The sequence below is a fragment of the Homo sapiens genome, chromosome 4, assembly GCF_000001405.40.
Source record: "Homo sapiens chromosome 4, GRCh38.p14 Primary Assembly".
Lineage (NCBI taxonomy): Eukaryota > Metazoa > Chordata > Mammalia > Primates > Hominidae > Homo > Homo sapiens.
In genome coordinates this window covers 114,796,897-114,810,198 of record NC_000004.12, presented here as the reverse complement: position 1 = coordinate 114,810,198, position 13,302 = coordinate 114,796,897, and the positions used below count along the sequence as shown (strand labels likewise).

At 33.9% G+C, this 13,302-nt stretch overlaps 1 pseudogene, besides 3 other annotated features; it reads right to left on the bottom strand.

The window, feature by feature from the left end:
* Positions 2,054-2,103: an enhancer, noted in NCBI's record as "active region_21842". NCBI's record gives its function as "activates an Ori minimal core promoter by ATAC-STARR-seq in GM12878 lymphoblastoid cells {active_cell/tissue: GM12878}" and the evidence as "EXISTENCE:reporter gene assay evidence [ECO:0000049][PMID:35858748]".
* Positions 2,120-2,323: a silencer, noted in NCBI's record as "fragment chr4:115729032-115729235 (GRCh37/hg19 assembly coordinates)". NCBI's record gives its function as "represses an EF-1alpha promoter that drives an FKBP-Casp9 reporter gene in an ReSE screen in K562 erythroleukemia cells {active_cell/tissue: K562}" and the evidence as "EXISTENCE:reporter gene assay evidence [ECO:0000049][PMID:32094911]".
* Positions 2,434-2,483: an enhancer, noted in NCBI's record as "active region_21841". NCBI's record gives its function as "activates an Ori minimal core promoter by ATAC-STARR-seq in GM12878 lymphoblastoid cells {active_cell/tissue: GM12878}" and the evidence as "EXISTENCE:reporter gene assay evidence [ECO:0000049][PMID:35858748]".
* Positions 10,570-10,868, bottom strand: RN7SL808P (RNA, 7SL, cytoplasmic 808, pseudogene; annotated as a pseudogene).

Here is a 13,302-nt window from a genome sequence, read left to right as displayed (position 1 = left end):
ATAGTCATTTTAATAATATTGATTCCTCCTATCTATGATCATGGGATTTTTTTTCCATTAGTTTCTATCATCCATGGTTTCTTTCATCAGTTTTTTAGCTCTCCTTGCAGAAATCTTTCACCTGCTTAGTTAAATGTATTCCTATGTTTGTGTGTGTGTGTGTGTGTGTGTGTGTAGTTATTGTAAATGGGATTGAGGTCTTGATTTGTTTCTCAGCTTCTGCCTTGTCAACTTAGAGAAATGCAACAGATTTTTGAACACTAATTTTGCATTCCGAAAATGTACTGCAGTTGTTTATCCAGTCTAGGAATCTTCTCAAGGAATCTTTAGGATTTTCTTGGTATAAGATCATGTCATCTGTAACAGAGTTAATATGATTCTTTCTGTCCCAGTTTGGGTGCTTTTTATTTCCCTTCCCTGATTGTTCTATCTAAGACTTCTAGTATTATGTTGAATAGGAGTAGTGACAGTGGATATGTTTGTCTTTTTTCAGTTCTTATCAGGAACGTTTTCAACTTTTCCCCATTCGGTATCATGTTGGCTGTGGGTTTATCATAGACAGCTCTTATTATTTTTAGGTATATTCCTTCAATGCCTAGTTTGTTGAGGGATTTTATCAGAAAAGGATGCTGGATTTTACTAAATGCTGTTTCTGCTTCTACTGAGATGATCACATGGTTTCTGTTTTAATTTATGTTTATGTGGTGAATCACATTTACTGATTTACGTATGTTGAACCAAACTTGCATCCCTAGAATAAAACCTACTTGATTGTAATAACTTATCTTTTTGCTGTGCTGTTGGATTTGGTTTGCTAGTATTTTGGTGAGTATTTTTGCATCTACATTCATCAGGAATATTGGCCTGTGTTTTTTTGTTATTGTTGTTGTGTCCTTGCCAGATTTGGGTATCAGGATGATACTGGCTTCATAAAATGAATTAGAGAGGAATCCTTCCTCATCAATATTTTGGAATAGTTTCAGAAAGATTGGTACCAGCTCTTTGTATGTCAGGCAGAATTTGGCTGTTAATTCATCTGGTTCTGAGCTTTTTTGGTTAGTAGTTATTTTTATTACTGATTTAATTTCATAACATGTTATTTGTAGAGAATTTCAAGTTTTCTTCTGGTTCAACATTGGAAGATTATATGTTTCAAGGAATTCATTTCCTCTAGGTTTTCTAGTTTGTGTACTTAGAGATCTCCATAGAGGTCTATAGTGATCTTTTGTATTTCTGTGGTGTCAGTTCTAATGCCACCTTTATAAATTCTGATTGTCCTTATTTGAATCTTCTCTTTTTTATTGGTTAATCTAGTAAGCAGTCTATCAATTTTATCCTTTCAAAAAAGCCAACTTTTTGTTTTGTTAATTCTATCTATGATTTTATTAGTTCTAATTTCATTCAGTTCTTTCAATATACATATATCATAATATATACAATAATAATATTTAGTTTCTTTCAATATGCATATTATATATAATAATTTTTTCAATTATATATAATTTAAAACTGTAATATTCAATAATTATTATATATAATAATTATAAAGTATATGTAATTTCAGAAGTGTTTTTTATATATGTTGTTTTATATGTATAAAGCTATAAACTATTTAATCTTTGATATCCTGAATCATTTTTTCTGTTTTTTTGTGTGTGTGTTGGCTTTTAACTTTCTGTTGCATCTCATTGAACTTCTTTGCAATCTATATATTGAATTCTTTATCTGTCATTTAAGAATTTTCATTTTGGTTAGAATCCATTGCTAGAAAGCTGATGCAATCTTTTGGAGGTGTCAAAACACCCTGACTCTTTGTTCTTCCAGAGTTACTGCATTGATTCCTTCTCATCTAAAAAAGCTCTTGCTTAGTATTTTTGAATTTGCTATTGTTTGGATGAGACTTTCGTTTATTTGTTTTTTCCTTGAGCATATGATTGTAGTGTATGTTGTGTACGATTGTTTGGCTTTGTTTCTGGGTATTTTCAGAAGGCCAGGGTTCTGTATGGGTTCCTTAGTTATGGATAGCTTTTGTGCCGTGGCTTTCTTAAATGCCGCTTGTTGTAGCAAAAGATTAGATATATGATCTGACACACTGTTTTCTACAGGGCTGAGAGTGCGAAAGTCTCAGGAAGCTGATCTTGTGCGCCAGCCTATGCTTGAAAGGTTTCTTATTCGGTGGTGCAGTTCAGTCTACCTTCCAGTAGGTGGCGTAAAAGAGTAAGCGCCAGCTTGCCCTGGGGCAGCCCAATAATGCACGGAAGCACCTGCCCTGATGGAGGTTGAGGAGAGATAGCAGGGTGAGATTGTGTTGGGATACACTGAGGTCCCACGGGTTGGGTGAGGAAGAGGCGGTGTGAGGGTGGATGCACCAGGTCCTTGTTCTGGCCAGAGAGGAATGCGATCTTCTTCCCCATCAAACTCCTGTTACAGGGCTTGCGACCTTTGATTAATATTGACATTGTCCTTTGGCTACCAGCTGCAGTGCAACTGAGGTCCCCCGAAATCCTCCTCTGGTGGCTACCCACAAAATGGGCTCAATGCAGAGCCTCTTCCTCCATTCCAGAGCAGACAGCTGTGCGGTTTCTCTGCTCTCCATTGCCCAGACACTGCTGCTCTATATAGGTCGGGGAAATGGGTCCACCCTTCATGCAAGCCCATGCAGCACGGGCTAACTTTCAATGGGGGCGCAGCCGGCACAAAAAGTGCTGAAAAGGCTGTCTCACAAGTAAAAATGCACTCGTGTCAGCCTCCAGCAAGTAAAGTCTCTGTTGTGTCTGCGACAGTGGTTGGGAGGAGTGGGAGAGAACCTCCCCTCAGTATTCATTTCTGGCCATTTGTTACACCCCCTTCAGCTATTGATGCCGTGCCCATGTTTCTTTTGTCCCAAGAGAGGCTTTGGCAGGTTGTGCTACCCACTCCCTTGGAAGCAGCCCGTGTTGAGGCTGCCCAGAGATTCTGCCACTAGATCTCCAGGGATTCTGCCGCTCCCCAGAGACCCACTAATGCCCCATGGTTGCCAAAGTCAGAGCAGGTTCTAGGGTGTGTTTATGGTGTGTCTGATGATGCAGCAAAACAAGGGCTGAGGTTTCCCAGGTAAGGCACTCACCCACAATGGGTGCAGAGTCAGTATAGTGCCCACCATCTCAGTTCAGGCCTGAGGGGAGCGCCAGCACACCTTCAGGAGCTGGCCACTTGGTGCTCTATCCCTGAGAAGTTCCCAAATTGTCACCAAAAGGTTTACCTGGGAACATAAGGGTAGAGGGGCTCCCAAACAATTTGGCAGTCAGTAGATTGTCACAGGGGTGCGGGGAGCACACAGAGAAATACCGCCACCTACCCTTTCCACGGGACTCTGAGTTCCTCAGTGGTCCATCCCTGCTAGACTCTTGCTGCTTTCCTTTTCTGTCCTCCAGCTTCTTTCCATGGGCTGTCCAACAGGTCCTGGACCTCTTCCTTCAGCCTTCCACTCAGATCATGACCATTCACCTGCACTTTGATCTTCTCTCTGAGGAGAACTGGCATCCAATATCCCTAGTCATCCTTATTTAAAAAAAAAAGAAGTGGTATAGTATCTTCTATCACAACGATCATTGTAGAACTCCAGGATTGAACAAGAAATTTGGAGATAGTAAATCATAGGGAAATTTTAACAGGGTATATCAGTAAAATTATGCTAAGTATCACTTTTCCTAGTATTAAGAAACTAAATATGTAACCAAAATCTTATTTATCCTTCACAACCAAATACATAGCAAACATTTTGCTTGTATATCTGTTATATTTTATTGACTGATCCACATATGATTAGAAGCACACATTTAATTTAGGGTATATTTATGTATATTGACACCATTCTGCAGCTGTATGATTATAGAAAATAGCAATTTTATTAAACAAGTTAGTTTTCCTTCATGTTAATAAAATTGTTCCAAGTGCATTATTCTATACATGTATTAGACTTATTTTGTTTTGAAAGGGGATATCTCAAATATCGTCATGTTTTTCACTACTTGGTTCTGCAGAAAGAATGATGGTGCTTTTTTCCTCATTATTACACAATAAACCCCAGTTCACATGGCAGGTAATACTAGTTGTCTAAATTTATTTCCTTTAGGTCCTCAATTGGAACTAATGCCACTTTTTATCAAATACTATATTATACAAACTCATATTCACTTCTACTGAAATATCTACTGTACCAATATCAACCTTTGTTTACCAATCTTTTAATTCACATTGTTAGAATTATTCTCATTTTTGAAAAGTATTAAATATTTTCTTGTTTATTATCCAACAGTATTTTACCATCATTAAGTTAAGTACATGAACGTGTTAATTCTACTGCAAAGGTTTGGTATGGAGCTGCATTATACATAAAATATAATATCATTAAATTATTTAGTCTTCCCATCACAATTATTGTTTTTTATTTGTCTTATTTTATATATAATAACATGTATAAAATAGAGATGTCTTTATATTGTCCCCAAAATTTTTCCATGTATTATTATTTGTAATATATCACATATAGTGCATGAGGAATGTTTTTCCCCCATGTAATATCTAAGGTGTTAGTTTTCATTGTGAGAAAATTATTGTTCCCATTAAAAAGCTATGTAAATCTTTGAATTGTTTTGTGTTTTGGTACTTTATGATTCTTTTTCAAAAATTTTGTTTTGCAGTTGATTTTGTTTAGTATCTTTTGAAAATTAACTTATTTTCAATTGACAAATTAAAAATGTATATAATTGTCATGTACAACATAATGTGTTGAAATATATGAACAGTGTAGAATGGCTCAATAGAGCCAGTTGATATATACATTATCTCACATACTTATTTTTTGTAGTACAAACACTTAAAAATCCTCTCAGCAGTTTTTTAAAATACAATACATTGATAATAACTCCAGTTGCTATTTTATGCAATATATCTCTTCAACTTGTTCTTCTTAACTAAAATTTTGGATCCTTTGACCAACACTCCCAACCCCTGCCCCTGCCACTCTCTACTTCTATGAGGTCAACTCTTTCAGATTCTACATGAAAGTGAGATAATGCAGTATTTGCCTTTCTGTGTCTTCTTTCATTTAACATAATGTATTCTGGATTCATCCATGTTGTTGTAAATAACAGGATTTTCTTCTTTTTTAAAGCTGAAGAGTATTTTATTTTAGAACTGAATAGGAATACTATTCCTTCTTTTTGTTGAATGCTTCTAATTTGGATATTTGTTCTTTTGATGCTGTTCAATAAATTCCATAAACTTCTTTATCATTTTTCACCCTCTTTGTTCTCCTCTGATTGCATGTTTTTTAAATAATCTGTCTCTCAGTTTACAGAATCTTCCTCTTGATCAATTTTGCCATTGATGTTCTTTATTTCATTTTTCATTTCATTAATTGTATTATGTGCATCCATACATTATTTATACTACATTTCATTTATCCATTAACCTGTTGATGGACACTTAGGCTTATTTTATATCTTGGCCTCTGTGAATAAATGCTTCCATGAGCATGAGAGTACAGATATCTCTTTGACACACTGTTTTGTTTTTCTCTTGGATATATATCCAGTAGTGAGACTGCTGGATCATAAGGTAGTTCTATTTTTAATTTTTTGACAAACCTTCAAAACAACAAAATTTAGTGTAGTTTAATTTAAATTTAATCTGACTGGAGACCTTTGACCTTCCATGATTGCACCAAGAAATTTCTGCTGAGAAATCTGATGCTCACCTTATCAGAACTTCCTTATATTTCATTTTCTATTTTTCTCTTGCTCCTTCAGGATCCTTTATTTGTCTTTGGTTTTTGACTGTTTGATTATATTTTGATGTACTGTAATTTGGATTACACTGGAGACCTTTGACCTTCCTGTACCTGGAAATTTATAATTTTCTGCAGACTTGGGAGTTTTCTGCTAGTATTTCATAACATAATTTTTTTTCCTTTATCTCTCCTTCTCCTTCAGCTCCTATAATTTGGATATCTTCTCTTTTGATCCAGTTCCATAAATCTCATAAGGTTCTTTATGCCTTTTCACCGTTTTTTAATCCTCTGACTGTATGTTTTCAAATAATCTGTCTCCAAGTTCACAGAATCTTCTTCCTGGTCAACTTTGCTATTGATGCCCTTTAATTTTTTTTATTTAATTCATTGTACTTTTCAATTTCAGAATTTCTGTTTAATTTTTCTTTAGTAATGTCAATCTCTTTATTTTATTTCTTATTTTGGCAATTTGTCATTTTCCTGATTTAATTGGATTGTTTCTGTGTATTTTCTTGTAGTTTGCTGACCTTCTTTAAAGAATTATTTTGAGTTCTTTGATTTCCTTGAGTTTCTTGGATGAAAATTATTGAAAATCAAAAAATGTTATATTCTCCCCTCATATAGACATAGCTCATTCTTAATTATATCATTAAGACTTGATTGAACATAGTATTTTAAATTAATAAAACATGTTGGGCACAGCAGCTCATGTCTATATTCCAAGCACTTTGGGAGGCCTAAGTAGGAGGATTGCTTGAGGCCAGGAGTTTTAGACCAGCCTGGGCAACATAGTGAAGCCCTATCTCTACCAAAAAAATCTATAAAATTAGCTGAATGTGGTGGTGCATGCCTGTAGTCCAAGGTAGTGTGTAGGCTGAGGTGAAAAGATACCTTCATTCCCAGAGTTCAAGGCTGCAGTGAGCCATGATTACACCATAGCATTCCAGCCTGGGTGTCAGAATGAGACCCTGTCTGTAAAAGAAATAATAAAATAAAAATAAGTTAATAAGACACATTCCATTAAGGTAACTTGAGTTCATATGGATTTGTTTCTTTATATCCTTTGGGAGACATATAAATCTAAAGTGAGCTTTCAGAAATATTCTCATTTAATTATTCAAAATGTTTATTCTTAATGAAACTCAGATTTGTTAAATATCTCTTTGTTATATGTAGCATTGAAATTTAATGATTAGGAAAAAAGCCCTAGAACTTTTACAACGTAAGTGTAAATAAGAAAACATATCTGAGAGGTTTACAGAGTGTGAGTAAATTCATTAAGACCATTTCTGGAGGAGCTTGTGAGGTCACCCTCTATTTTCTACCTACAAAATCTTATAGATAATTTTACACACTAAAAAGCTTACTGCTATTTAGTGTTGTTTTACTACAAATAGTAAAGTGATATGTTTGTAAATAAATACATTTAGTTTTGTTATAGCAATAATAAGATTGCTAGGATACTGCAAACAAATCTTTCAGTGATAGTAATAAGGTTTAGAAATGCTTCTGAATAGTAAGCCTGGACTAAGAGGTACTCTGTGTAGAGAACAATGCCAAAGATAATGTTAAGTTTTCAGTAAAAATTTGCTAAACTAAATTATTTTAAATCAAACTTGATTGAATTGAATTTGGAAAAATATCCTAGTTCAAATCTACATTTTGTAGTATCTTTTTCTCTAACAAGGAGACACTACTATTCATAAGATTAAATATCATGGAGTGAAATGGTTGTTACATCATGAAAAATGAGTTAAAGTCATATTTCATTTCACGAACCATAATTTTAAATAATGAAATATCAAACAATAAAGCATATATGATTATGACTTATTTAATAATATCTAATTGTTTTATGACCATTGCCATAATAGCCTAATAATTTCTTTTGTAAATCTATTCTTATATTGATCTGCTATCCAAAATATAAAAAATGAGCAATATAAAATTAATTGGTCTACTCTTACGATATATCATTATGCTTGACTAACCAGGAAAATAAATGTAAATGATGAAATTATCCATATAATCTTTCAAAACATCTTTCTGGACTTGGGTCAAAACCATAGGAATGAAAACTGTAAAGCTGACCTACATGAGCCAATCAGTATCCATCTGATTGTTCCCTCATCATTAATTTAAATATGCAATATGATGCCAAATATTCTAAATTATCTCCCTTTTTAATCAACTGAAATATTTCTTGTACATCAGACTCTCACCAAGTTAAAGCCACAAGTGTTTAAACTTGGCTGAAGACTTTCAGGCCAACTGACACTTCAGCTGTAACTTTACATACACTACTGTTATTCATTAACTTAAAAAGTATTTATAGAGTTATTAAAATATTACAAGATTAATGAAAAATATACAGCTTCTGTCAAGTTGTTTAAAGTAAAGGAAAAGACAAACAACTGTCAATTTCAATGTAGAATGTTGAAATTCTCATAAAACTATGCACAAGTTTTTCTGGGAGAAATAAGAAGTGACTTGACTCAGATAGTAGGACAGGAAATGGGGCAGAAATTAGAGAGGGCAGGAATAAAGAAGATATACAAGTAAAATTCAATTTAATTGAATGGTTATTTTATAAGTTTAGCTAAGTTTCTTTTCAACTGACATGTGTATGTATATACACAAAAAGAGAAGATTAAATGGTTTATCAATATTATTTTGGTCTAAAATTGTTCTAATCTGATATAGTAAGTGATCAGTCAAAAACAAATTATTTTTCAGACTACAGTAATGCAAAAAAAAAGCATGCTTTAGCATTATAATACCTTTAAAATGTTTTACTACATCTTCAAGGATTGGTACAATTTGTGGATTCTAGTCTACAGTCCCCCACCATTCTGATGTCTACCATATAGAAATGTGATCCATCTAATAGAGTGGAGCTGTCACAGTCAATAATCTGGTTTTATACAACTAAACTTGGGAAATTGAGCATTCTCTGCAATTCTTAGTTGTACAAGTATCAAATGCTTTAGACTTGGAAACCACAATGCTTAATATTTTAAGCCATCAAACTTAACCAGACATAGCATTCTTTTATTAATATTAATACAATAGTACACACAAAGGGCCACATGGTAGTTAGTCACAAGAAAAAAAATACTATATCTTAATTTTTGTTTCTAAGAAATACCAAATTATTAGAATTAAAACTTCATTGCAAGTTTTCTCAAAATGCAGGTTTTATATGTATAAAGACCTTTAACCAAAGTTTTCAAGACAGCTTCATATTTTGCTATCACTATAGCAGCAGCGATGATACTTTTAATTAAGTGAACACCAAATAAGAAACCTTAGAAATAAGGTGAAATTGCAATTTTAACTCATTATGGATATAAATAAAAACAGAAATCAGAGTCACTAGTAGCACAGAAATTATGCGAAACCTTAGCGGGGGTGCTTGCATGTTAATCTAATGTACTGTATCTTCTGACTATTTAAAAAAAACAATTTAAAGTGACAGTAAACAAATAAGTTACCTTGAAGAGGCATTAAGGAACATGAACACAATGTCATAGAGAGTATTTGGAAAAATGCCCTCTTTAATGGTCATCTACAGCTCATTGAATGTGGTTTTTCTCTACATTAAGGGCACTTCTGAAATGTAGTTTTACAATTGATTCACTTAAGTAATGGTAAGTGCATTTTAGATTGATAAATTTGTAATATGTCTAGACAATAAAAATCTGCAATTTTTACAAACTCGATTGCCTTTCAGATGCTTATATGTTCAGAGATGAGATTATTTTTTACGCTTCATTGTTGCATCTAAAGAATAAAACACATATCCAAAGGGGAGATTAAAATGCGTTCATATTTACTGAGTTCCAGGTGTGTAATTGAAAGGAACACACTAAACTGATAAAAACTTAAGCCTCCAGATAAAAAATGCTAAAAAATAAAAATTTATTACATTTTGAGGTATATTCATAAACTAAGCATGCATCATTTAAAATGTTTCAGTCACTATAAATATGTTATACACACCTGTAAATTGATTGAGAAGAATTCAATTATGTAGTCTAAACACTGAGTTGGATAAATTAGTGATAGCAATGTGTTCCCTATTTAGCTGATTTGGTGAAAAAATAAACATATGGTTTGGTATAGTAAACTTTGCATTTGAAAACTGAAAATGTTACTGAAGTTTTCAAAATTTTCTTGAATATGAATTAAAGTCTTTCTGTTGTGGTAGGAGATTAGATTTTTTTAAAAAAAACACAAATGTCTAGAATATTTGATAAAGGGCTAAGGATTTAAAATACCAATGCTTCCTTACTACCAACTACGTATTTTTTGTAGATCTCATATATTATTTTAGTATACTTATTTTGAAGTAACTCAGTAGAGAATTAGCAAACTTTGGTGTAGCATATACACAATGTAACAAATGTTAGACTGCTATTTTAAATATGTAATATTGCTAAACATCTTAATAATAATGCATTAGACCAAGGAAGTAAAGAATACTCCTCCACATCAGTATTTAAACTGATCAGAATAACAAAATGTAAACAGCAAGAGCAATGAATGACAAATGTAATACTATCTTACAATGCCTCTTTTTATAATAGAGTATCTAAGGAAGCCATTAAATTAAAACAAAGTGTATTTTATAATTGCTTCCATCAAACAGACAATTGAAAACAGAATTGTATAATGTATATTCATTTTACATTGCATTAATTTCCTATTTTTAGGAAATTCACAAGGCTCCAGAATTACTCCATACACTTCTCACTCACTTAAATGAATAGCTATATAAATTTTGTATCTATATTGGAGACAGGATCTCATTATGTTGCCCAGACTGGAGTGCAATGGTTATCCACAGGTGCAATCCCACTAGGGATCAGCACAGGACTTCTGACCTGGTTCATTTCTGACAGGGGCCAGTTCACCCCTTGTTAGGCAACTTGGTGGTCCCCCACTTCCCAGGAGGTCACCGGATTGATGCAGAACTCAGTGCAGATACCTGATACCCACAATGCACTACAGCCCAGAACTCCTGGGCTCAAGTGATCCTCATGGCTCAGCCTTCTGAGTAGCTTGGAATGCAAGTGCATGCCCTGCGCCTGGCTATATAAATAATATTTTATGTAATATGATAACATTACATATAATATGGTTTGAATATTTATCTCTGCTCAAGTCTCATGTTGAATTGCAATCCCCAGTGCTGGAGGTGGGTCCTGGTGGGAGGTGTCTGGATCATGGGGGTGGATCCCTCACATCTTGGTGCTGTCTTGGTGCAATAGTGAGTGAGGTCTTGCAAGATTGGTCATTTAATTCATGTTTTCACCATGTGACATGCCTACTCCTTCTTTGCCTTCCGCCTTGATTCTAAGCTTCCTGAGACCTCCCTAAAAGCCAAGCAGATGCCAGCACCATGTTTCCTGTAAAGCTTTCAGAACCATGAGCCAATTAAAGCTCTATTTTTAATAAATTACCCAGTCTCAACTGTGTCTTTATAGCAATTCCAGAACAGCCTAATACAACATATAACTTCAAATGGTGTTGTGGGGGCTTGTTAGAGTTGATCCTGCTTCCAGGCTTTTTCTCTCCTTTTGGCTAGCAACAAAAGTCTCTACCATACTACTTTGAAACAGTTCATTTCCTTCTCTTAATTAAAAATAGCAAAAATAATTATAGATGCATATATATGCACATATATGTATATAGACGGACAGTACATATGTCTATGTATGTATATCTGCATATGTATATATGTCTATATGTGTGTGCATATATACAGACAATAGGTAGGTAATTAATAGATAGATAATACATAGACAAATAGATCTCCTCATTATGGAAGTCAGAATCCAGCCTAATCTAGTATTACAGTGGATCTATTACCCTCATTTCCTCTTCCCCTCCTCATAGAACCAGCCAGTGTACACCCTAGCTCAGGCCCACATCAGTCACCTAGAAAAAGAGAAAGGTAGGCATGAAAATAATCTCCCAAATAATTCAACTTGGATTTAGAGACTGGACTGATTCCTCAATCAAAAAATTGGCAAAGGACAAAAATACACATACCACAGAAGATAAATCATAAATAGCTAATAACCATGGGAAAAGATGCCCAATCTCATGCATTATCTCACCCTATACTCAAACCCATGGCACAAGTACTATTATTATGTCCTTTTAATGGATGGGAATATACATAGGTTATCAAGAGGATATATATATTTTATCAAGGTCACATAGGGAATAAGTTACAGAGTTGAGACTGAAATCCAGGTAGTGCACTGTAGGAAGCCTGATTCACTTGATAATAGAGTAAATAAAAATACAACATTTTAAATATACACAAATTTCTTTTTATTTAACAAATTCAGAAAGCTAGGGATATATGCATAGTAAGTAGGATCCAAAGAAAGAAAATGACTAAAACAAGGTGACCTTCAGCCTGAGTCAGACAGACCTGTACATTTTAGAGGATAATATTTCTTCATATATCTACGGCTCATTTTTTTTTATAGGATTGCTAACACTCACCCAAGCAGTAGCTTTCAAACTTTAAGAAGACAAGAAAGGTTTTAGTCTCATTCACAAAGAGATTTCCATCATGGAGTACAGTTAGTGACTTACACGGAATGTTCCCAGAAAGAGTTGTTGAATGAGTGAAGGCATGCATGCATTAAAGAAGAGCACATCAATCAAGAGCCAGTGGAATGAATTGGTCAGTAACATACTAATCATATGGCTATTTGTCCAGATGATGATTAGCACATGTGCTCCAGGATATCATTTCTTTCCAACTACTGTTTTAAAGGAAACGTATCCCATCTTTTCTCTCTTCATCAATTACAAAGGAATTCCTTTACTACCTATAGCAGCTTTATAATTTTTTTCTGACTTTTTTTCTAGCTTTAATGCCTGTTTTTAAATTTCCTCTCTGAGTCTATTTTTCACCAAAAGTATAGAATGTTTTCTCTCCTTTTGCTCGTCATCTTCATCTCTTTCTGTGCAGTGTCTGTGGCTTCAACTCTGAGACTAAGCTTTCCAAGTCAGCAAGATCAAGGAAAATGATGCAGTGAGGATCAAGAGAGACTCTGCTCCCAATAACAGAGGTGTTCTGTTTTTAACTGGGCTTTTTTTCTTCCCCTGGTTTCTACTTCAAAACAAATAGAAATTTTTGTCCCTAAATCATTCTCAACAAACGGTATCTAAGCTTTTCTAAAGTTTACAATGGAATGCAATTCTAGAAGTTTAGGTAGGTAGATTTCTTTAATAATTATATTAACATAGATACCTCAAGAAATAATAATTTAAGAAGACATAGCTATTATCTGTGTAACATCCTTGGAAGTTATCACAGGTGATAATCTCTCAACTTGCAAGTCACACGGAGAATGCCACAGACATCTTAATAGTCCCCTCCCAATTCTAATAATTTTGAATTGTGGCCATAAATAACTCTTAATACAGTCTAATAATGCCATAAACTGGATTTATTTGTCCTTTAATTGGTGTTCACTTACTATTTTCTGAGAGTCTGCTGA